At 53.8% G+C, this 24,448-nt stretch overlaps 1 protein-coding gene and 1 long non-coding RNA gene across 3 annotated transcripts in view, besides 2 other annotated features; one reads left to right on the top strand and one right to left on the bottom strand.

Annotated features, from left to right (window-relative positions):
* Positions 1-24,448, bottom strand: part of KIAA1614 — a 38,718-nt gene that overhangs the window by 6,587 nt on the left and 7,683 nt on the right. For both annotated transcript variants that reach the window (NM_020950.2, NM_001427641.1), the window contains exons 4-8: positions 16,455-16,598; positions 8,358-9,913; positions 6,317-6,473; positions 3,743-3,983; positions 512-639 (exon numbers count right to left, since the gene is read on the bottom strand). In NM_020950.2, the coding sequence (NP_066001.1) occupies positions 512-639; positions 3,743-3,983; positions 6,317-6,473; positions 8,358-9,913; positions 16,455-16,598 (2,226 nt within the window). The remainder of the gene's footprint in view (positions 1-511; positions 640-3,742; positions 3,984-6,316; positions 6,474-8,357; positions 9,914-16,454; positions 16,599-24,448) is intronic.
* Positions 3,122-4,101: an enhancer, noted in NCBI's record as "H3K4me1 hESC enhancer chr1:180910063-180911042 (GRCh37/hg19 assembly coordinates)". NCBI's record gives its function as "activates a minimal SCP1, AML or CMV promoter by ChIP-STARR-seq in naive H9 embryonic stem cells {active_cell/tissue: H9 hESC(naive)}" and the evidence as "EXISTENCE:reporter gene assay evidence [ECO:0000049][PMID:30033119]".
* Positions 3,871-8,270, top strand: LOC107985231 (uncharacterized). Its single transcript, XR_007066761.1, has 2 exons — positions 3,871-4,002; positions 4,847-8,270. It is a non-coding gene; the product is annotated as an uncharacterized LOC107985231 (long non-coding RNA).
* Positions 21,070-21,951: an enhancer, noted in NCBI's record as "NANOG-H3K27ac-H3K4me1 hESC enhancer chr1:180892213-180893094 (GRCh37/hg19 assembly coordinates)". NCBI's record gives its function as "activates a minimal SCP1, AML or CMV promoter by ChIP-STARR-seq in primed H9 embryonic stem cells {active_cell/tissue: H9 hESC(primed)}" and the evidence as "EXISTENCE:reporter gene assay evidence [ECO:0000049][PMID:30033119]".

Here is a 24,448-nt window from a genome sequence, read left to right as displayed (position 1 = left end):
AGAATCTGACAAAAGGTATAACTTTATGTCACATTTCCAGGAGCTAACATACACCCTGAAGTACATCCACGCCCCAGGAAAGAGCAGCCAGCCTACAGGGCCTCATCGGACAGGGTGGGATTTTCCAAGCAGGTCATGGGTCACGGGCCTCTTTGGGGGCCTCTGTCTCTATGTGTTTATTCAGATCTTTAGCTGGGCTAAGAAAACTCTCTAAACTTTCTGATTTCAAGATGTCATTGCACAGCAGAGGGACAGTGGAATCAAACCGGCCAACTCTACCCCCTCCAGCGACCCCAGGCCTTCTCAGAGCCCAATGCACCGAGGGTCCATGCAGGGCACTGAGGTGCTGAGACTCCCGTGGCAGCCTCGTCTCCACACATCACATGTCCTGTTGCTTTCCCTTCAAAGGACCCTGCTCAGAGCCATGATGCTGAGGCAGGAAGGAGTTAAGCTTTTGGCTCCGCTGGTCACTCTCTGAGTTTATCCTCCAAACCATGTGTGCCCCTCATACCTGCCAGCTGCACTGTGGTCCCCTGGCCCTGCTACCAGGTAGAGGCTGGACCGGTTCCCCTTGCTGCTCAGCAGAGAATGGAGGTTCTGAAAAGAGGCAGCTTTCCGACGCTGGTGAGAGGGTGACACCTGATGAGAAAGGGACAATATTGCGGGTGAGAAAAGCTACCTGGGAGGTGCTGACAGAGGACTTGGCCCCACCATGAACCTGAGGGCCCTGTAAGAAAGTGACAGCACAAGCTTTTATCATTGCTTCCAAGAATTCAACAGGAACCACCATGACTTACTCAAGGACATCATGGGTCTACATAGGCCATCTGAGGAGTCAAGGGAGTTTTTGTTTTGCTTTTTAGCTGAAATAACAACTTTAGTGCTATACTAATTTCCTCATTGATTAAGGAAATCTAATGTACTCATTAAGGAAGAAATGAAAGTAAGTTTATTATACAGTAATAAATATCACTTTAGAGTTAAAATTCAAAATATTTTGTGATTCTTTAGTATGTCTTTTATGATTGCTTTCGTGCAAAAATTTAAATTGAATATTGCACCTTCAAACATCGTGGATAAAAAGACAAGAAATCATTCAAGGAGTTCACAAAATGATGGGGGCAGGGCTGAGCACAGGTAAGTTAAAAGGTTTCAGTGCACATTAAAAAGAGATGGTGTGTGCCGGGTGCAGTGGCTCATGCCTGTAATCCCAGCACTTTAGGAGGCTGAGGCGGGCAGATCACCTGAGGTCAGGAGTTCAAGACCAGCCTGGCCAACATGGTGAAACCCTGTCTCTACTAAAATTACAAAAATTAGCCGGGCATGGTGGCGGGTGCCTGTAATCCCAGCTACTCAGGAGGCTGAAGCAGGAGACTCACTTGAACCTGGAGGCGAAGGTTGCAGTGAGCTGAAATCATGCCATTGCACTCCAACCTGAGTGACAGAATGAGACCCTGTCTCAAAAAAAAAAAAAAAAGATCTACTACCATTCAATCCTACAATCCCACTACTGGGTATCTACCAAAGGAAAGAAGTCATTGTAAGAAAAGTTTGGTTCCATATATTTGCAATTGCAAATTGTGCTGCTGTGTACATGGTGTGCACATGTATATAACAGCACAATTTGCAATTGCAAAGATATGGAACCAAGCTAAGTGCCCATCAACCAACAAGTGGATAAAGAAAATGTGGCATATATACAGCCGGGCACAGTGGCTCATGCCTGTAATCCCAGCACTTTGGGAGGCCAAGGCAGGTGGATTACATGAAGTCAGGAGTTTGAGACCAGCCTGGCCAACATGGTGAAACCCCATCTCTACTAAAAATATAAAAATTAGCCGGCTGTGGTGGCCTATGCCTGTACTCTCAACTACTCAGGAGGCTGAGGCAGGAAAATTGGTTGAACCTGGGAGGTCGAGGTTGCAGTGAGCAGACATTGCGCCACTGCACTCCAGCCTGGGTGACAGAGTGAGACTCCATCTTAAAAAAAAAAAAAAAACCCAAAAAACTAAGCCTCCCAGCAAACACACTCTTGGCAGCACCACACACCAACAGCAAGTATTGGAATGTCACAAATACTGCAGGGGAGACAGATTCTTCCTTTATCTTCTTTTTTATTTTCTTGAAAATTTCTGTCTTTTTTCAGTTCTTGAAAATTTATCTCTGCTGCTCATCCTCCCTGCTCTGCCTCCCTTTCTTGCCCAGTCGACTTCCTATCTCTGTCCATTCAGCTCAGATTGCCTATGAACCTCTCCATGACACCGACGGGGGTGGTGTTTGCCTTGGAGGGCTTACAGAGATGGAAGTCCTGATGACAATAAATCTGGGTGCCACGGCTCAGACACGCTTTGGATAAACCTAACTTCATAAGAACAGTGAGCTTCCCGAGCACAAGTCACCGCTGCCGATTCCCCCCAGCTTCAATATCTGCGGCGGTTTCTCTGCCTTCCATTCACTCAACCAGCAAATATTTGTTGAGCACTGGCCACACGCCTTGGACAGTCTTTGGTGGAAGACAGTCAATGGGACCTTCATTCAGTCCGCATCCTCTTCTCGCCTGCAGCCTGGGAAATGAAAGGCGCCAGCGACGCAAACCGCTCTCACCTGCTTCACTCTGCCTAGGAGAGCGGGGAGGGAATTAGGAGAAACAGACCACCTGAACTCCCTGGAACAGAAGGGGTGTCCGAGGGGTGCTGCTCCTGGTTGCAGAGCGTGGGGCGCTTCGTGAGGGAGAGCCTGAGCGAGCTGCCCTGCGCGTCCCACCCACTCACCACTCAGTATGTATTGTGCGTACTGCACTAGCTTCCCTAGTAAGTACCGGAATACAAAGATCAAGCGTTGTTCCCTCAAATAACTCACACTCCAGTGAGGGCTGAGAGACAAAAACCCAACTAAACATGATGCCTAAACATGAGTTCCACAAAGGAGGGAGGCATAGGAGAAATGGGAGCGGGGCTGGGGGGGTGGGGAGGGGGGTGGAGCCCCAGTTCGGCCTGAGGCAGGATTGGGAGCGGCTCCCTGAGGGGCGTGTGCCTGCAGTAGATGGATGAGTGGGCATTTGCAGGTGGGGAAGGTGGGAGAAAGAGCCCTGAAGGTTCGAAGTCAGACTGTGTGTGATCGACAGAACTGCAAGGGGGTCAGCTGCAACCGGGGTCAAGCGTGTTAAAAGAAGAATGAGGAGGGATGAAAGCAGACAGATCCCAGAAACTCTCTGGCCATGCCAAGTGGTCTGAACTTTGTCTTGAAGGCGATAAGGGACCAATGACAGATGTTCGGCGAGGGGGTGGCGTGGTCGGATTTGCATATCAGAAGGACCACTCTGGAAGCCACATGCAGGACCATGGCAGGGAGGCCAGTCAAGGGACTGCTGAGGGAATCCACGTGGGAAGTGATCTGTGCCTGGGCTCAGAGTCACTATGGCCATGGAGAAGTTTCCAGAACCATCAGGCTGTCAACTCTCCGAGACTTGGCTGAGGTGGCAAAGCTGAGGAAGAGGGAGTAGCCTAGAGTGACCCCAGGCCTGGGCGGCTGGCGGGGAACAGCAGTGTGAGGAGCTGCTGACTTGGTTCTAGGGGAACCCAAGTCTCATGGGTCAACCATGGGGATGCCAGCAGCTTCCGTCTCCCTACTGTGGGCTCCTTGGGAGGCATCCTCATCACCTCCTCCCTCCTTTCACTTTTCATTCTGATGGTGGTTGCACCGCTACTGGCTTCACTCCCTGGGCTGGGGCCCCTGGACTCACCGGGTGCAGGGATTGTAACGATGGGGCCCTGGACTGTGACGTCAGGCCAGGCGGGGCGGGCTGCAACTGCTCCACACTGTAGCTGCGGGACTTGCCCAGCTTGGGCCGGGAACTCTGGCCCAGGGCTGAGAAGAGCTTTTTCAGCCCCAGGGTGGAGGCTATGCTGCTGCTCCTTTTCTTGTTCTGGTCCAAAGGGGCAGCCGAGGGGGAGCCGGGTCCTGTGCCAGCTCCTGCTGATGCTCTGAAACACAAGGGTGGAGGTGAGGGGGCGGGGGAGGGCCGGGAGGGTGGCCAGGGAGACTGTACCCTGGGGCCATCTCAAGGGCCGCAGATGGGCCAGCACCAATGCCTCTGGCACATTTGGGGCCAGGAACTAACAACCAGGCTGTAGAAAGAAAGGCCAAGTGGAAGCCGGGTGTGGTGGCTCCTGTCTGTGGTCCCAGCTACTCGGGAGATGGAGGCGGGAGGTTCACTTGAGCCTGGAGGTCAAGGCTGCAGTGAGCTGTGATCACGCCACTGCACTCAACCTGGGCGACATAGTGAGACCCAAAAAAAAGAAAAGAAAGAAAAAAGGAAGAGAAGAAAGAAGGAAAGAAGGAAGGAAGGAGAGAGAGAGAGTAAAGGAAAAGAAAGAAAGAAAAGAAAAGAAAAGAAAGAAAAAAAAGACTGCCAGATACTCTGCTTGGGTTGCTTTTGGGGAGTATAGCTCAGGCAAGCCCCCCGCCATAATACTCAGCTCAGAGCCCACCCAATCATTCATTCAGTGTATATTTTTTTTCTTTTTTGAGATGGAGTCTCACTCTGCTGCCCAGACTGGAGTGCAATGGCATGATCTTGGCTCACTGCAACCTCTGCCACCCAGGTTCAAGCTAGTCTCCCACCTCAGCCTCCCGACTAGCTGGGATTGCAGGCACACACCACCACGCCCGGCTACTTTTTGTATTTTTAGTACAGACAGGGCTTCACCATGTTGGCCAGGCTGGTCTCGAACTCCTGACCTCAAGTGATCCACCTGCCTCATCCTCCCAATGTGCTGGGATTATAGGCATGAGCCACTGCCTGGCCCATTCATTCAATACTTCTTAACGACCTACTATGTGTCAGCCTCTTCTAGGTCCTGGGGTGTGTGTATGCAAGACAAACAAGGTGCCTACTCTCAGGAGCTTATGAACAACAGACCATGAAAACCAAGGAGACCCATCCCATGTGGGTGAAGCAGACTGTGACCAGGCACTTCTTTGAAATGGAGTGGTGGGGAAGGTCTCTCTGAGAAGAGGAGCTTTAAACTGAGAGTTGAAGAAGGAGCCAGGGCTGCCACGCCTGGAGTTGAGTAGTCCAGGTGTGGGGAACAGCTGGTGCCACAGCCTTGGGGCAGGAAGAGCTCTGGGTGTTTAAGAACAGAAAGGGGCCAGGCCATGAGGCTTGGGTGTAGGTGATGAGAAAGGGGGAAGAGGCAGGACAAGATGAGGTCAGACAGGCAGGCAAGGCGGATTCCACAAAGCAGGACCAACCACAGCCGGGGTGTGAAGTCTACTTCAAGTGCAGGGAAAAACCATTGCAGGCAGGGTTTTCAGTAGGAGAATGACACCATTTAATCCAAGTTTTAAAAAGCGACCCTTGACTATTGTGTGGAGAAGGAAATGTAGGGGCAAGAGTGAAGGCAGAGAGCAGGTAGGGGCGACTAGAATTGTATAGCAAAGAAGCCATGAGTTCAGGCCAGGAGAAGTGGTGGGAGGCAGGGGGTTCCGGAGCTGGCAAGGACTTGCAGAGGGTTACAGTGGGAGAGAAGGAAGAGGAAGCAGCCCAGGACTCCTGGATTCGGGCTTGTGTGCTGTGCAGACAGACAGTGATGTGTTTGCCGGGAAGGGGACATGGGCGAAGCAGTTGTTGAGCTTTTTGTTTGAGAGGCCCATCAGACCCCCTGATGGAGATGTCCAGGAGAAACTGGGCATGCAGCTCTGAAGTTCTGGAGAGCAGATGGTGCTAGAGATGGAGAGCTGGCTCTGGTGCCTCTTCAGGCTTAGAGCTGCCTGCAGCCACCAGGCATAGTGTGTCACAGGGAAGAGAAGGCCCTGGCCAGAACTCCGGGCTCACCAAGGCTTTGAGGCAAGCCAAGGAGGTCCCGAGGGCCAGGACTCGGTCCCCACCCTTCCCCCACTCCCCCCTTCTCCCCCCAGCTCTGCCTGAGCTGAAGGAGAGAAGGGAAATGTGATTGCATCTGGTTACTTTCGAGAATCCAAGCAGAGAGCAGGAGGAAGCCTCTCAGACAGGTAACCCCATTCTGGGCCCCTCCCCAGGGCTAGGGCTCTGCTAGCTTTGCCCCAGGCACCGGCACAGTGTCTGCAGCTAGAGGCCGTTCAATGGATGCTCCATGAATGAATGATCAGGTACATCAGACTAAACGACACTGGGAGAGGAGTGGGAGGGCTGCCAGGCTTGTTCACAGTCTAGGGATCCTCTGAAGACTAGGGGCAGGGAGGTGGGTCATGCCACCACTCCAGGGGGTCTCTGTCCCCTCCCAGAGCCCCCATTCCCACCTCCTTCTGCAATCTGGCTCTTTCTCCTGTCACTCACCTTGACAGCACATGTCCTCCAGATCCTGACCCTGTCCTCTGCAGGCTTCCCTCTGATTCCTTGCTGGACTCTGACTCCTCTGAGGACAGGGAGAGGGTGATGCCCGTGGAGTTGATGGTGGCAACATCTGCTGAGCCAAGAAAGCCCTGGGGTCCTCCTGAAACAAGCACAGCATCCCACCTGAGTCAGACCGGCTCATCCCACAGGTCCTGTGGGGGAATGGGACATTCCCAGCAACAGGGGGAGGGTGAGAAGAAGCTGGAGAGGTGGAGCTCAAGGAGAGCAGTGGAGAGACCTGGGAAGCAGCAAGGGAAGGTGGGGTGGCCTCTTAGATGACCAGGGCTGAGGACCCCTCATGAGTGTCCTCTAAGCTGGAAACTATTTGAGGACAGGGACTGAGTCTTGTTGACTGCTGTAACCTCGTCACCCAGCACAGCACCTGGTCCACAGTAGATGATCACTGTTTGTTAAATGAAAAGGTTGACTATGATAAGCCATGTCCCTTCTATATCAAGGGACACAGTGGGAACAGGGGAAAATTTTGTATTCCTGGGACAAAACCCACAATCTTGTCAGTTGTGATTTCTGAGAGCTTTAAAATAGCCATCATTTCTGGAGATCTGTTATGTGCTAGGCAGCAAGTGGAATCCTCTCCAGAGATGAGTTCACGGAGTCCTAGGAGATGGTGCCGTCATCGTCCTCACTTTATGGAGGAGGATGCTGGCAGGCTAAGGGACTGAGGGACTCGCCGAGGGCCTCACTCGCTCTGCTTCAAGCTCCAAGGTAAAGGCTCACGTTGCCCAGAGAGGTCAGCAGGTCTCAGAAGGGAAGCCCTGCAGGAAGTGGTTAGGGGCAAGCCCACAGCCTGCCTAGAGCCCACCAGAGAAGGAAATCGCCACTCAGCACAGGGTGGGAGGGACCCCAGGGGGAGGCGGTTGCCTCAAGGTTTGTGTAAGCAAGGGAGGAAGAGGGACCAAGTCTGTGTGTCCCTGTGCAGTGGAGGGGACTTTGCATCCACATCCTCAATAAGGTCTGTCATCTCTCTGCCCTCTCTCCCTCCACTCTGTTGCCAAGCCCTGGGTCCCTCTTGAGCCATCCCAGCCCCAAGACTGTCAGAGCCGTGGTCACATTAGAGCAAAAATGTGTGGAGTGAGCCTGTTATCTCTGCCTAAAAGTGAGCGGCAGAGTTGGTCACCTGGGATCACAACACCAGGGATCAGAGCCTGAGCCTGCCAACCCCCAGGATTCTCCCACAATATAAGGACCCCTTCCAAAGGCAAAGTGGTGAGACCCACACCCTTCAGCAGCCTTGCCTGCTGAAACCTACTGGTCCACCAACAGGCCCAGGGGCCAGGGAGGGTCTGGTACCAGAAAGCACACCACCTAGGAGCCCTGTTCCCTTGGTCACAGGGTCCTCTGGACAGTGTGTCTGCCTGGCCACAGAATGCCTCAAGGGCAGGACTCCTGCTCAAGTATTCACATGTGCATTCCCCACAGTGCCTAGTATAGTGCCTGGCACATAACAGGTGCTCAGCCAATGCGGAAGGAATGAATGAGTGAATGAAATGAAATAATGATGCTGGAGGGGCAGGGCCTCAGCCATGTGATTAGTGGACATCTACTGTTCTAAACAAATAGTAAATCCTGGAGCTGTTGCCTCTTCCTGAGCTGTTGGGAGTACATCCCTTAAAGTCCAGGCCTCCAGCAGCCATGGAGCTTGGAGCTTGGAGCTTGGAACCTCAGGGTTCCCAACAGGAAGAGGACGTCTCCACCACCTTCCCCATGGTTCTGCCTCCCCCGGGAGGGAGTTGCTTAGTCTGCCTCCAGGCCGGCGGTCAATCCTGCATCCAGCCTCCACCAGCACCCCTGACACCTCAGAGCAGCTCCAAGGAGCTGCCGAGGTGGTATGTGACGCTGCCATCTGACTATTGAGATAAAAGGGAATGACTCTGAAGGCCTGTGTGTCATGGATTGGGTCTGGGCGTCTGCTGTAGAACCACACCAGGCCTGGGCTGGGCAGGAACCAGCGGCAGCCCCTTACCATCTCTGCTGTTCTCCAGGGGCGGCTCCGGTTCCCGGCTGCAGGGGCCCCTCTCCACCCTACCCTCGTGGACGGCTCCCCCGTAGGGCTCCTGCAGCCCCCGAGGTGCGCTGTTGTTGCAGTTGTTGGTGGACAGGGCCAGCAGTGGGTGCCTGACCTGAGGGCGGCTGGGCTGGGTCTGTGATGGGGGCAGCTCACAGGTCCTGAGAACCGCGCTTCTTGAAGGAGGCCGAGGGATACCCACAGGCTCTGTCTGGTCACCCAGCCTGAGCAGTCCAGCCAGGGCTGCCTTCCTGTGAGACACTGGCGAGGTGGTTTTCCTCGAAGGGGGAGGGGTTGGCGCCCAGCCTTCAGGACACAAGGAAGCTGTTGGCTGCCAGGCTTGGTGTGGGGCAGAAGGCTCTGCATGGCTCTGTTGCAGGGAGGAAGGAGAGACAATTTCCAGGGACTCGTGGCTTTCTGTAACCTGGGCCTGGCCTCCTGGCCCCGATGATTCAGGCGTCATGGGGGCGGTGGTGGCATAGGCTGTCCTGCATGGAGTCCGGGAATCCAAAGGGTGAGGCTGGTGACTTCCCAGCCCTGGTCCAGGCTGCCACTGGGGTCCCAGGGACACCCGCTTCAACTCCAGGTCAGGAGGCTTGGCATCTTCTCTCAAAAATAGAGTTCCTTCAGGCGTGTGTCCTCTGCCCTCTTTCACCTCATTTTCCACCTCCACATCATCAGCCCTAGGCAGGTGTTGCTGGGCCTGAAGGCCCCAAGGGAGCTCCGCCTCAGCCTTCTTGGACCACCTGTGGCCTCGAGGCCTGGAGCCCCGCAGTCGCAGTCGCGGGCTGCTGCCTTGGGTCCGCCCACACGCCCAGCCAGCCTGAGAGGTCCCCGCCTCCTCACTGTCGGTCCTGCAGTTGTCAGAGTTGTCTGTGCTGTCCAGGGCAGAGTCCACCTCCGCAGGGCACACGGTGTCTCCGATGTGTGTTTCCCGGATCCATTCCATGTGGAGCCGGGGCTCTGCAGGAAGGAGCCGGAGTGGGGAGCTCAGGCCACCCAGCACCCTCTCCATCCCACAGGCAGCCTGGAGCTCCTGGAGGGTCCTGGGGACGGGGGGCGCCTTCCCCTGGGCGGGGCGCGGGTCGTCGATGCAGCTGCCGCAGGCCTGGCACCTCCTCTCGCTGCCCGGTGCCGGCGGTGCCGGGTGTCCCCTGCGGTCCAGGCTGCCCACAAGCCTGTGGAATGTCCCCTGCCCCGCGTCCCGGAGCCGGGGAGCCCCGTTGATGTAGTCGGCGAGGTCGGGCTTGGAGCGCAGGGGGCCCTGGTCCGCGGCCTGCAACACGGTGCTCAGCACCTGGCGCTGGCGCTGCTGCAGCCGCTCCAGGTGACGGAACTCGGCTTCGCGGGCGGACTCATCCTCAAAGCGCACGTGCGACGGCGAGGGGCCCCGCCTCGGCCTGTGCCCACCGCTGGACTCTCCGCTGGAGGAATCGCTCGTGTGCCCGTTCTGGAGGCTGTCTCTGCAGGCAGGGGTCGTCCTGGGGTCCCGGGCTGGGCTTCTGTGGCCATCTCTGATGAAGAGACAGGAGGAGAGAGGTCAAGGGCAGAAACCTGGGGAGGTATGGACACGCATCGGCCCTACCCTCTCCACCCTGGGCTACAGTCTCCCACCGTGCTCTGTGGCAACCGCAACCCACAAGGTTACTCCAGAGAGGATTTCTGGGGGCGTCTCGGCAAACCAGAGTAGCTTGCCAGCCCATTCTGATCCTGAGACAGCGCTAAACAAAACCAAGGCCACCTTCCGTGCTTTTGGCTTTCCCTCTCTTGCATGGCTCAGCCTGAGTTAAGATGAAACACTATTGAATGGGAAGATGCTGAAGTCCTCACAAGTGTGTGTTGCTGGGGTGGTGCGGCGTCTGTGTGTGTGTGTCTGTTAGGGAGAGGAAGTGAGCCTGACCACCATGTATTTTTGGTAGTGATTGTGGAAATATGTATTTGCTGTAATGCTGTCACGGGAACAGGATATTTTAAGTTTCCACTTAAAGGAGAGGCTGTGTGAGAACTGAAGTCAGAGATTCTTTTTTTTGTTTGTTTTAGTGGCAGGATCTCTCTATGATGCCCAGGCTGGAGTGCAGTGACATGATCTCGGTTCACTACAGCCTCGATCTCTGGGGCTCAAGTGATCCTCCCACCTCAGCTTCCCAAGTAGCTGGGACCACAGGTGTGCTTCACCATATCTGGCTTATTTTGGTTATTTTTTGTATAGATGAGGTCTCACTATGTTGGCCAGGCTGGTCTCAAACTCCTGGGCGCAAGTGATCCTCCCACCTCGGCCTCCCAAAGTTCTGGTATTACAGGTGTGCACCACTGCGCCCAGCCTGAAGTCAGGGTTTCTTTTTCTTTTCTTTTCTTTTCTTTTTTTTTTTTTTTTTTGAGACGGAGTTTTACTCTTGTTGTCCAGGCTGGAGTGCAATGGCGTGATCTCAGGACCGCAACCTCCGCCTCCCAGGTTCAAGCGATTCTCCTGCCTCAGCCTCCCGAGTAGCTGGGATTATAGGCATGCGCCACCACGCCCGACTAATTTTGTATTTTTAGTAGAGACGGGGTTTCTCCATGTTGGTCAGGCTGGTCTTGAACTCCCGACCTCAGGTGATCTGCCTGCCTCGACCTCCCAAAGTGCTGGGATTACAGGCGTGAGCCACCGCACCCGGCCTTAAAGTCAGGGTTTCTAAGCAATTGCTCCCGAAGTTTCCACACAGGGTTCCACATCACCTTGCTTATGCATAATTCAGACAAGGCAACAGTGATGTTTCTCCTTGGCCCCTGAGTCTTGACTGTTCCAACCCCCACTCCAGGCACTGTCCCTCCCCAGCCCTCACACACACTCTCGTCCTGCTTTTGCTGGGGATGGCACTGCTGTGCTGGGGAGTCTGTCCATCTGTCATCCACTTTGGCTCTGGGAGACACTGTGGCGAATAGTCAAGTCCTGCTCAGTTCCGGAAGACACCTGTACACATCTCACACCAGGGCCACCTGGAGCCAGGTAACCCGAGTTTCAGGCCACTATGCAAATGGACCCAGGTCCACAGGCCGTTTTCTATCAGAAGGCACCCAAGAAAGGACCATAGTTCTCCCTTTCTTTTCCTGGTAGTGGCCTCCCCACCAATCCACTGCTAAGTGTTGGGATTCCATCTCTTGTTTCTTTCATTTATCACTTCTTTATCACTCACACTGGACCCCTGCAGTGGCCTCTTATCCAGCCTCTCCACTGCCTCCTGTCTGTAGGTCCAACTGATGCACAGCCTTTATCACACCAACCCAGAAGAGGGCACAGGGTCAAGTGCATACACTTTGGAGGGAAAATGCAGGCTCCCCACATTCCTTCCTGCTTCCTCTTACACTCCCAGGCCTTCAGGGCCTCCAGGCCTCCTTCCCTGACCTCATGCAACCCTCCTGCCTCATTTCCTGGATCTTTCTTCTTAGCCTAGTAGCATTTGACTTCTATTTATTAGATGCTGAATGCTCACTGGAATGCAAAAGGCAATGGACAATGGGGGCTCCACACCTGCTCCTACCCCTGACTCCAGTCATTTCCCCCCATAAGCACTGCTCCAGAACGAAATTTTTTTTAAAAAGAACTCCTGCTGGCCAGGCGCAGTGGCTCACGCCTGTGATCCTAGCACTTTGAAGGCCAAGGTGGTCGGATTGCCTGAGCTCAGGAGTTGAAGACCAGCCTGGGCAACACGATGAAACCCTGTCTCTACTAAAAATAGAAAAAATTAGCCGGGAGTGGTGATGCGTGCCTGTAGTCCCAGCTACTTGGGAGGCTGAGGCATGAGAATTGCTTGAACCCAGGAGGCAGAGGTTGTGGTGAGCCAAGATCGTGCTGCTACACTCCATACTGAGTGCTGCTACACTCCATACAGAGCAAGACCCTGTCTCGAAAAAAACAAACAAACAAAAACAAAACCAAAAAAAACATACACAAACTCCTCCTAAGCAAGTAGATCTGCCTGCTTTGAGATTTCAGCAGATCCTGTGCTTAAAAAGGCTGCTCTGGGGAACACTGAAGAGGTGTCGGTCAGCCTGTTTTCTGGAACTCACATTCAGCCAGGGCTACTCATTCATCAGGCACAACAGCCGCTATGCCAAGGACGCACAATATGGACAGGGGCCCAGGAAAATGTTGTAATTTCTTTTAAAATCAGAAGAAAATAAACTTTTGGGTCAAAGAAAAGATTTTAATGTAGAATGACATATTTATCTTTCAACCAGCATGGTCATGAAATATATATTTTTTAATTTTTTTTTATGGAGAAAGAGGCCCACGAAGGCAAAAGTGCCTAGGGCCCCCGAAAGTCATATTGCAGCCCTGCTTTCAGAGAGGGATTTGTAGCCGAGAGATGTAGGCTACTGAGCAGGACACCCCGCTGCTGAAGACGGTGCAGGATCTCACTACTCATCTCAATATGGTCGTCGGGAGGCCCCTCTGATATTAATAACTATGGTGGTGATGATTTTCTTTTGGGGATTGTAAAGCACTGGGACTCTGAGCCCCAGAGAACCCACACGAGGATTCTGGGCCCTACCTGTACTTGTATCTAGGTCAGCTGTGGGGTCCCTGTTCCTGTGGAGCTCATGGTGAGCTCTTCAGAAGCATGCTTCCCTCCCCATAGCCCCCAAAAAGAAGACTCCATCCGGAGAAACAGCCTAGCCCACTGCACAGAAAGGACGCCCTCCCAGCCCAGCCGACCCAATGCAGGCAAAGGCCCACAGGGAGATTCTGCACACAGCTTCACACAACGACCCCTCCACAGGCCCCAAAAGCTAGTGCCCTGTCCGCTGGCAGGATGTGGGCTGTAATTTCTAGGGAGGAAAAGAGCCTAGCTTTAAAGGCAGTGCGGTCCTAATCTAACAAGGGAGCCCAGGTCCCATGAGCCACATCAGTGGTCTTAACTTTCACACACAGGGTGGTGAATTGAGCAATCCTGGAATTCACTGCAGAGGCAGACATTTTTGTTCTAAAAAGAGAAATTGAGGAGCGCTTAATCACATAAGGTGCTTTCAGCCCAATTATTCAAACCCAGAAAGCCCCACTAGCAGTGTCAGCAACTGTGCATAAAGGCAGGATGAAGATTTTGGAGACAAGTGCAGGACGAATGAGGCAGCTAAGCGTTGAGCAAATCCCACACCTGCCAAGTTCTCAAGGTGATGCTCCACAGAAGCTCCAGTAGTCACTCCTCTAGGGGAGGATCCCGCTGCAGTCCTGGAGACATATGGCTTCACAGGGACCCCTTTCCAGAGTCCCACTTTCCATAGCATTGCTCCCCTAACCACACAATCAATGTGATGTACACAAGCTCTGCAGTCTCAACACAGCCACTCTCTCTGACCCAGGACAGTACCACTTACAGTGTCACCCTCCCAGCCCTGCCTCTTGCTGACATGTCCTGTCCTCCTGCCATCAGTAACACCAATCTAGGCATGTCTATCCCCAAAATGGCAAAATCTTGTGCTTCCAGGAGCTGCTCCATTTCTGTATTAATTTGTTTCCAGAAAAATGCAGCTGCTGCTACCTCTTCACCTCCTGGAGTCCCTGTCTGTTCAGGCTTGCCCCAGCTGCCTCTAGCCAGACCTAGGATAAAGAAGGCCCTCTGAGACTGCTCTGCCTGCCCCTCCTCTTCCATCACCTTTCACCAAGCTGCTCTTTAGAAGTGATGCATCTGGGCTGGGGATGGGGCCTCCTGCATCTAACTGAGGCCTGGGGCCTGTGTGCCATTGCCATGTTAACTCAGCATGGCCCTCCAGGGTGATTTGACGGAGCGTAACCTTTAGAAGCATCTGCAGCAAGCCATCTGGCGTTGATTTTTCAGCTATACCCTCTGAGGATTCGCCAGCGCTGCCAAGTCACAGTAATTCTTTTCTGGACACAGCAGCTGCTAAAGTGGGTCACCTTGCAATTCTATAGCATTTCTATGGCCTGGAGACAGCCTGCAAAAGGGAGCCTACGTTAAAGTTAGTGATTGGGGTTGTTGTGAGCTGCTAGAGTGACATGAGGAAGAAGTGTCCAAGAGGACCTTTACACAATGCAATCTGTTTTGCAGATAGTCTTGACTATTTTGAGGCTATCCGACCTAACCTAAATGCCTCTACAAAGTAGAACAGGAGAGTTGCTTGGAAGTCTAAGATTTCTCACCATATATTTATATACGTGAAGAAGAATAGTTAGGATGCCCTGAAGAAGTCATGCCCATTCCTTTTTTTTTTGAGATGGAGTTTTGCTCTGTCGCCCAGGCTGGAGTGCAGTGGTGTGATCTCGGCTCGCTGCAACCTCCGCCTCCCGGGTTCAAGTGATTCTCCTGCCTCAGCCTCCCAAGTAGCTGGGACTACAGGTGCCCGCCACCACGCCCAGCTAATTTTTTGTATCTTTAGTAGAGACGGGGTTTCACCATGTTAGCCAGGATGGTCTTGATCTCCTGACCTCATTATCCGCCCGCCTCAGCCTCCCAAAGTGGTGGGATTACAGGCGTGAGCCACGGTGCCCAGCCCACCATGCCCATTCCTAACAAGTGCCCTCCATCTAGAGAGAGAGGCAAGGCCCAAAATGTGGAAATACAAGGGCAGTCTGTTTGGCACCCCTTGCCAGGATTTATGGTCTTCTGAGCCCCTCTCCTAAGGGTCACAATGACCTCTGCTCATGAAGGAGTCGTCTCAGTGGTTCCATGAAGGTCCTTAGCCTTTAATGAGCAGTTCGGCACCCTCCATCAAAGAGCATGTGGTCCAGTTCCACCAAGATCCCTGTTCCCTAAGAACCCCTGCTCCCTCCACTGCCACGTGGTGATTCAAACAGGCTGATGCAGCAGGCCCACCATGCCAGTGAAGCCACAGGCTTTGCTAGCTGCAGAAGTGGTCTTGCTTGGGCCTGGTGAGACCTGGCATAGCCTGGTGGCCTCATCTCAGGCCCAGGTGCATGACTGGAAGACAGCTCTGTGTGGTGGTGAAGTCCACATGTAAGTGATTCTTCAAAGTGCACCATCGGCGGAACAGGCAGGAAGATGGGGATGCAGTGTGTTGCTCAGGGGGCAGTCATGTGTGTGATGTGCTGGTCTGAATGTCCTTGACCTTGTTGTTTTCCTACCTTACCACGGCTGTAGCATTATGAAATCAGGGATGACATCCAAATCTTCAGTTCTGATCTCTCCTCCTCTAAAGATCCTGTATCCAACTGCCTGGTGGGCATTTCCAGTGGATGTTCTGGGACCACCTCCCCCTCCAATGCCTGACCCTGCACTGAGGCCTCACCCCTCGGCTGAGGCCCCACCAAACACACAGACACCGAGTCAGAACCCTGGGCTCATTCCAGATGCCTCCCTTCTCACACCTCCCACACCCCTGCAACAAAATAAGGAGTCATTAGAGCTCACAGTCCTGCAGCACTCACTGCATGGCGGGCGCTGTTCTAAACTTGACACGTATTAGCTCACATAGCTCCACAGCAACCCTGTAAGACAGGCACTGTTACAGTTCCCATTTTGTGGGTGAGGAAACTGAGGCACACAGACTTCTGCAGAGGCACCCAGCTAAGTGCCAGAACCAGAAGTCAAGCCCGCATGGTCTGGCTGTAGGTGTTGCGCTCCTCTGTCGCCTCACTAAGCCTGCTTGCCAGTGCCTATCTTGCACTGCTTGCCAGTGCATATCTATACTTCCGTCAAGCCTCAGCTAAGAAGTCACCTTCTCTCAAGAGCCTCACCTGTCCTTTCCAGGTGGAGTTAACAGTTTCCAGTTCAGCACACACACTTTTCCTCTCTCACACCACAGTCCACATAATTGAATATCTGTTTGCTTCTCTCCCTGGAGACTGTGACCTCCATCCCCCCAGGGATCCAGATCATGTTTCATTCATCTTTGTATCTCAGTGCCTGACTGTAGGCCCTCAGGAAAGGTGTGTTGACTGACTAAATAATCAAAGCAAGAGCCTTATATGGAAAACACACAGACACACACACACATGGAGCGAGCAGCAGCAGCATTTGGCTAGATCCCACTTCTTCCCACTGCTGACTCTTCCCTGCTATGGCCCTCCCAGGCTAGCCTGGCCCAGGTCCCACTCACCGGCTGCCCTGGGTAATGGTGGGCACGATGTCATGGCTGGCACGGAGGGGCCGGGTCCTGGCCTTCATGCGGGCACGCTGCAGCAGATGCGTGGCTTCCTCATGCCTGGGGCTCAGCACAGGCTCCGGGTTGGGACCAACGGTCCTGCAGCGTGGCACACAGGCCAGGGTGGTGGGGGAGGGATTAGAGGAAAATAACGCAGATTAGGAGGGCTTTAGCAGTGTCAAGCACTGGCTGTGCCAGAAAAAGCCCTGCATGTGCAGCCTTCCTCCTCTAGCACCCACGCACAGGGAACCCAGCCTGGGGGCCTGGGGCCTGGGGCCTGGGGCTGGGAAATGGCCCTGCGTGGCTCTGGATGGGGGCTGGGGAGCTGGCCCGGCCTTGGACATCTGCTCAGGCACTGGAGGCAGAGACCTCAAGAGGATCTAGAAAGGGTAGGAGAGTCTCCAGATTATTCTATTGTTCCTTCCCCAGGCAGACAGCAGGAGCTATCTGGGAGGAGGAGGGAGAAAGGGCCCGGGGTTGTTGGGCTGGGCCTGTGCCCAGACAGATGGTCTCTCCACGCATCACCTCTCTCTCCTTCTGTCTCTCTGCACCCACACACAGCACCACACTAGTACCCACTGCAGATGCAAAGAATCAGGGCTCTGTCCAGCATAGATTGGGCCCTTTGGGGGAATGGCATTTTTATAAATCCTGGTGTTTTCTTGCCTTAGTCCCAATCCAAAACCATCAGGCACCAGCTCAGGGCTCACAGGCTCAGGGCTGAGAGAAATTAAGCTGGACCCAAACCAAGCCAGCAAGTGGTTCGACTTTCATAATAATAAGGGTCCTCCACCAGCCCCCACCCCCTACCAGATGTGCTGCCTCCCTGGCCAGTCCAGAGTGGCAGAAAATGACAGCAGTCCGTTTTCAAAGCTGTCTCTCAGCCAGTGACATACAGCCCGCGCTGGGTTACAGCTATAACAGCAACCCACAATCTCCCACTGACAAGACGTTGTTCTCCACGGAGCTTGCTCTCCCCAGCCAGGCTGGCCGAGGGCAGGTGTTCTCTCCACTTGACAGATGAGGGTGTCCAGAGCAGAGAAGAACGCTGGCACATTGTTCAAGGTCGAACGTCAATTGCAAGCGGAGCAGAGCACACGACAGCCAGCCCACTGTCTCCAGCATCGTTCCGCACCCTCTGTCCTCTCCTGCCTTGGGTCTCAGGGCAGGCAGAGGATGTTTGTGGCTGGGGGCAGATGCGCTCTTTGGGGTAACTTCATCATCCCCACTGGCTGCCCCTGTCCTCGCCGTCACATATGCTGGGCTGTCCTCAACAGTGAGGGTCCACAGGGCTCCAGCAGGTCCTGATCTCAGACCTGCAGCCCCTCACCATGGTCCTGACTGGGGGAAGGGACCAGGCAGTTTCCTGGGTGACAGAGATGTGAGTGGAAATGGCACAGCTCTGAGGCCTCCAAGGAAGGCTTCCTTGGACATCCTTGGACAAACTCTGGGCAGACTATGATTTCTTTTCTTGTTTCCTTTTCTTTTTCTTCTCACTATTTGCATCCAACCCTGTTTTGGGGCTGCTGGGGAGCAGGAGGAGACTGCTAGAAGAAAGGCACCATCTGTGCCTGTGAACCCTGGCAGGGCCCAGGCATGGCTTTGGAACAAGGAGGGCTTTACTGGAGTGATGGGAAAGCGAATCTCCAGGCCCGCTGCCCCGTGAAGCCTCCTTTGGCAGGAGAGGCCTCCCTCTGCACAGCTTCCCCAGCAGACAGCTCCTCCAAGGCGGCTGAGAGCAGCTGTGCTCCCTGGGGCTCCTGCCCTGACAGCAGAGATAATGAGGTTACCAGCCCGGAGAGGCGCCCCTGCAGCCGTGGGCCTCTGGCTGCCAGCCCGCACACTCGGAGCCTTCCGGTGACAGCTGTGGTTCCACGGCTGTCAGAGGGCATTTGTCACAAGACCTGGTGGGCAGGCAGGAGGGCCCCCAGGCAACTGGCCAGATGCTGCCAGGATCAGCCTTGCCCCCAGGTTTTAAAGCCATTTTCCAGCTTTGCTATTTCCTTTCTGCTCCCTCCTCTTGGAGCTGTTACTTTTTTTTTTTTTTTTTTTTTCTCATCAGCTGTCTTGCTTCAGTTCCTGGCAGACAAAGCTGGTTCTCCACTGATTAGAAAAGCAGGGCTTTTTAGGCGCCTAGAGGCATCCATGCAGTACCACACTGAGCATGGAGGAGTGGCAGTCACCTTCACAGACTGCAGCCAAGGTCAACGTGCACCCTGGTGAAGCGAGGGCCTGACCAGCCCTGTGGAGGGAAGGTGGTCTTTCTCTGAGGCAGGGAACAAGCAGGCAAAATGGGGTGGGTGCTGAGTCTGTCCCATCTCACTGCCCACCTCCCAGCTCCCAGAGTTGCTCTGGAAAATTCCTAGAAGGGTTGGGGTGGTCAGTGCCATGGCCAGGCAGAGGCAATTCCTGCCTAAGAAGAGACGGCTTTTTGCCACTGTCTTGAAAGTCTGCACTTCTGGAGCTCATTAGCTCAGAGGGTGGAGCATAGGAATAAAGTGGCTGAGTGCTTTTCCTCCCTGGGCCTCAGTTTCCCCATCTGCAAGCAGTGGGGGCTGGAGAGGGGAGAGGACTCACAGTGCTACCCTGTGAGCCCAGATCTTTGGCCACATAGTCTGATATGCCATAAGGTGGGGTGTGGGATTTCGAGGTCCCCCCTTGGGGGAGTTCCCACCACAGATGTTTGGCCCTGACCGAGTGGCAGAGCCTATAAAGAGCTCATTGTTGGGGAAAACTAGAGTTCCACTAGAGTATGCTGGCCCTTCCCCCACCCCTCCAGCCACCTGTGTCCTCGACTGGTTCACAAGGACAAAGGGCAGCGTGTGGTCCCCTCCTGCTCTGGGCACTCCCGTCTCGGCCAGTTTCCTGGTGGAGGGACAGGCTTAGCTAAGGCTTTGCTCTCCCTCCAGCCAGCTGGGGCAGGAGAACCACCATTGCTCTCCTAGCCAAGGAGGTCAAGGGGACAGAGTGGCCTTCTTCTGCAGCCATCATAATCCTGGATTAAAATAATAAGCTCAGCGAGTCTGTGTTTAACCCTTTCAACTCAGGTACATGGATGGGGAAATAACTGGGAATGTAGAGGGATCTGCCGCTTCCCAGATTCCAGGATGCACCCAGTAGAGGGAGAATATGGAGTGTACAGAACATAGAGAAACTTTTCTGCTTAGCATTTGTTCCATGTTTGCGTATTTGAAAGCTTTCTGATGACCACGGATAGAGCTCTCCTACTGTGATTCTGTGTGCAATTTTCTGAATGAGGGGAAGTGGAAAAGGTGCACCTGGAACTGATTCTGGGTCATGTGCTCCATGAGGGCAGGGACCTAGTCTCAGACTGTCATGCTTGCTTGCACAGGTCCCTTCTTCCCAGGTCTGCAGGACATGGACAGGACACAGCCTAGAGTGGCGGGGAAGTGTGTGGCTTGGGGGCAGCCTGCCTGGGGTTCTAATCCCTGGACAGCCACTTCCTAGCTGTGTCACCCTGGCAGGTTACTTAGGAGTTGAGCCTCAGTTTCCCTATCTGCTAAATAAGGGCTCAGTTGTTAAGATAAGTGAGAGTGACTCCTTTAAAAGAGATTAGCACAGAGCTGGGCACTTGGTAAGAGTCCACAAATGTTAGCATTTATTATTATTATTATTATTATTTTATCATTAGCACCATTGTTTTGTTAAATTACTCTCACCCCCTTACTAAGCAAAGGATGGAATCCCCGAATATGTACTAAAGTCACCTGTGATGAGATCACTTTGTCGTCAGCAAGGGGAAGGCATGTTTGAAATGACAAACACCATCTTGTAGCTGGAGGGGACCTGGTGGCTTTGCTCTGGACTTTGAAAAGCCCTTGACAGGGCTCCATAGAAAAGGTGGCTTCCATAGGATAGAAAACAGGAGGTGGCCAATTGGTCATGGAGGAAAGCTGACTCCCAGACAGTCAATAGGCCCTCCTGTCAATGGAGAAGGAGGAGTGGGAGTCCTTAGGAATGGCAGCTGGGAGAACCCACCTCCTTCAACACCTTCAAAAGGATCTGTGTGGAGGCCTGCAGTGCACGCCTAAGATGCTGACTTCTGAGGAGAGCAGAGCCACCCTGCCCCTGCCTTCCTGAAGATGAACAGATTCCCTGCTGAGCCCCAGAAGGAGGCTTTGGGCTGCCCCTTTGGTGAGAACCTCTTGGCCTCAGGTGTGGGACCTGGGTGGCCACAGAGGAGGCAGGTGTCCGAGATGCCCTCCGATGGGGGACCAGTGGCCTGTTCAACTCTGGCAGGCAGAGGAGAGGGCTTCCTTTCCTAGAATTTCAGACTGGCTCCCACCAGATGAATTGCCTTGGGTAAATTGACTTTCTCAAGCTCCTTGATTGGTAAAGATTGGGACCATCATGAGATTTTCATGTGTGGTGTGTATATGGGCATGGCAATGACGCAGCATGGGACAGGGTATCTGGAGGATCCAGGTGGCACTGGGTTTGTGATAGGGCTTCCTTCTCCACCCAGGGTGAGACACTGGGAGCGTGTTAAGTATCCTAAAACACTGTTGAGTGGTTACATTTAATTTTTTCTTTTGCTTTAGTCTCGGTGGGGCTGGGAGTGGTAAGGGGGCTTTCCTTTGTGCGTGTATATCAGTGGGGCAGGATGGGAGCTGGGGGTTGGTAAGGACAGGCAGGGGCTCAGGCATTCTTCCGTTCTTGGTTACACCCGTGCCCTGGGGTGTTCTCAGCCACCTCTACAGCCCTGGGCATGCTGGGGTGGTGCTGGGATGGTGGGAGTGTCTCTTCTCCCGCACTCAGCCGGGACTCCCCATGCCTCCTTGCTGAGCCCTTACTCACACTCTTTACGACGTGCCTCTGCCAGACATTTCTGAGAGCCTTTCCCTGCACACACTTGCAGGCACTGGGGCCCGGAGACAAGAACAGCACAGTTCTTGCCCCAGGAGCTCAGGGAGGAGATACACCAGTGCCAGCTATGGCTGCAGCCGGTGCAGGGCACAATAAGAGCAAAAGTGGCCAGTTCCATGTGAAATTGCACTGGATCACACCCAGTGGCCAGCTCGCAGGGGAGCTCTGTGCTTCTGTGATCTAATAAATACGGATTTGGTCCCCACTCCTGGCACCTGGCACACAGCTCCTAAACCCTTGGAATCTCAGGAATGAGCAGAGTGTCTTTTGTATGGTAATGAGACGGCTGGTGGCTGAGAGTCCCTAGATAGCTTCAGGATGTGGGCTGGTCACCAGAAACACCAATCATTTTGAGGGTTGGAACATTAAGCCCCACCTCCTAACCTCCGTCAGGGGAGAGGGGCTGAAGTTTGAGCTGACTCGCAGTGGCCAATGATGTAATCAATCATGCCTACATAATGAGGCCTCCACAAACACCCAAAGGACTGGCAGGACAGCTTCAGGACAGCTGGGCTTGTGAAGGTTTCTGGGGGGTGGTGCCCCATCTCCCATACCTTGCCCCATGCCTCTCCTCACATGGCTGTTCGTGTCTTTTATAACATTCTTCATAAGAAATGGGTAAATGCAAGTAAAGTGTTTCCTTGCGTTCTGTGAGCCGTCCTATAAAATTAAACCCAAGGAAGGAACAGTGGGAACCCCGATTTATAGCTGGTTGGTCCGAAGTGCAGGTCACAACCTGGGACTTGCAATTGGCATCTGAAGTGGGCGCAGTCTTGTGGAACTGAGCCCTCAACCTGTGGGGCCCGATCCTATCTGCAGGTAGACAGTGTCAGAACTGAGTGGAATCACAGGGCAGCCAGCTGGGGTCTGCCAGAGAATTGCTTGGCGGGTGGGAAACATCTGCACACGCTCTGGTGGCTTGAGGTGAAGTGCTCTGTGCTGTGTTGAGTGTGTGAAAGTAGGAAAAACATTTTGGTTTTTTCCTATCTCAGTTTCCAAAAATGCTAATTAACATATTAAGCTTTAAAAGCCTGAGATTTTTCTCACAGCTGAGGGCCTGACCACTTGAACCACAGGCCAAGCCCCTGAAATTCTTTAGGGCTGCCTGTCTTTAACTTAGAGTCTAGAAACTGCTTGAGGGGAGGGAGTTTTTACCCCCCAAGGAATCCCAGCAGGGGCCTGAAGATCGGGACCCGCCCTCCCCTTCCCCTCGCCTGTGTGAAGTGTTTTGGTCCTCGATCACTCACAGGGATTTCCTGAAGGGTGTGTACACCAGGGACTGGGCTTGTGGATCCCCACAGGGGCACGACTCCATCACAGCGATGAGGGGAAAATAAACAACCTAGGATGTTCCCTGCGCTTCCCTCATCACTACAGCACACATAAAACAAAACCGAGACCTTCTCTGCTCCCTTCTCCCTGTAACTAAAGCCCCTGCAGACACACTCAGCACCTGGGGCCTCCCAAATCACACATACAGAGAAGGTCCTGATTTGCACCAGGGTGTGCCTGGGCCATGCAGAAGCACCGCCTCTATGGAGACGGCCGAGGAGGCCGAGGGCCTCGGGCTGGCCGCCCTGGCGCGGGCTCCTGAGCCTCCGAAGTGGATTTGGTGTGGGGTCTGGAGCCAGCGTTGCCCTGATTGCTGTGCTCCTCACTGTCACACCCTTTCACTTGCGCTAGGTTACCGGGATCCTAAGGCAATCTGCGTTCCCAGTATGTCTCTCAGAGGCTCAAGGAAGGGAAGGGGCCAGAGCTGGTACAGAGAGAGCCTGAGCGCGGCCCCCTATTTCAATGTCCTCCCACTTCTCTCTTATGAGTCCTTCCAGGCACAGATCCCTTTTGCCCTCTGTGAGGCCCAACGTCTCACCTCATCCTCTCCCCCAAAATCCAAACCCCATTTCCTGAATCATCCTAATAGTGACCTAGGAGAAAAATAAGCGTATCCCATGGAGTCCATCACCTGCCCTTCTTTGCCCACACCTGAGAACAGAGCAGGCTGGGAGGGGAAGGAGACCCCCAGATCCCTAGCCCAAGGGGTGGCCTGTGGGGGCAGGGACAGGGTGGCTTGTGGCAGTGCTGCACGATGGCAAGAGCGCAGCCCTTGGGGCCGGCAGCCCTGAGTGCAAAACCTGGCTCCAATACTTGGCAGCTAGAGGACCTGGGCAAGTCCCTTAACTCCCCCCGCCACAGAGGTCTCTCTCTCAGTGAAACAGGAACAATAAATACTGTCAGGCCTCTGAGCCCAAGCTAAGCCATCGTATCCCCTGTGACCTGCACCTTTATGTCCAGTTGGCCTGAAGCAAGTGAAGAATCACAAAAGAAGTGAAAATGGCCGGTTCCTATCTTACCTGATGACATTACCTTGTGAAATTCCTTCTTCTGGCTCAAAATCTCCTCCACTGAGCACCTTGTGACCCCCCGCCCCTGCCCGTAAGAGAAAAACCCCCTTCGATTGTAATTTTCCTCTACCCACCCAAATCCTATAAAACGGCCCCACCCCTATCTCCCTTCACTGACTCTCTTTTTGGACTCAGCCCTTCTGCACCCAGGTGAAATAAACAGACTTGTTGCTCACACAAAGCCTGTTTGGTGGTCTTTTCACACGGACGTGCGTGAAAAATACAATTTGTTATTAGGATAAAATGGGAAAGAAGGAACAGCACTTAGCATAGCTCTTGCCACATAATAAGAGCTCAAAAATGGCAGCTGCTGGCATGGGCTTTTGCCTACCACTAGGAGGCTCCAGTCCTCTGCAACTGAGCCTTCTCTTGCCCCTCATTAAGTGGGGGACAACCCTGGGGTTGGGGGCCGGGGGTCTCCTCCGCATCTGACCCTTAGCCTTTAAGGTCCTGGGTCGTTGCCTCCCAGGCTGACTCCTGGTGACTGCCCCACACAAGCCAGGCCAGCCCCAGCCCGCCCCCAGCCCGCCCCCAGCCTGCCTGCTGTGTTGAGCTCTGCTGTCACCATCATGTCATGAGCTACTCGTCCCATTGCCTGCAGAGCAGTAACCATTACGGACACCATCAGATGCATGCTAGGTTAACTTGGTTGTAATGGTT

This window comes from Homo sapiens, chromosome 1, assembly GCF_000001405.40.
Source record: "Homo sapiens chromosome 1, GRCh38.p14 Primary Assembly".
Classification (NCBI taxonomy): Eukaryota; Metazoa; Chordata; class Mammalia; order Primates; family Hominidae; genus Homo; species Homo sapiens.
The sequence above is the reverse complement of the archived record's forward strand: the minus strand, read 5'-3'. Positions and strand labels throughout refer to the sequence as shown.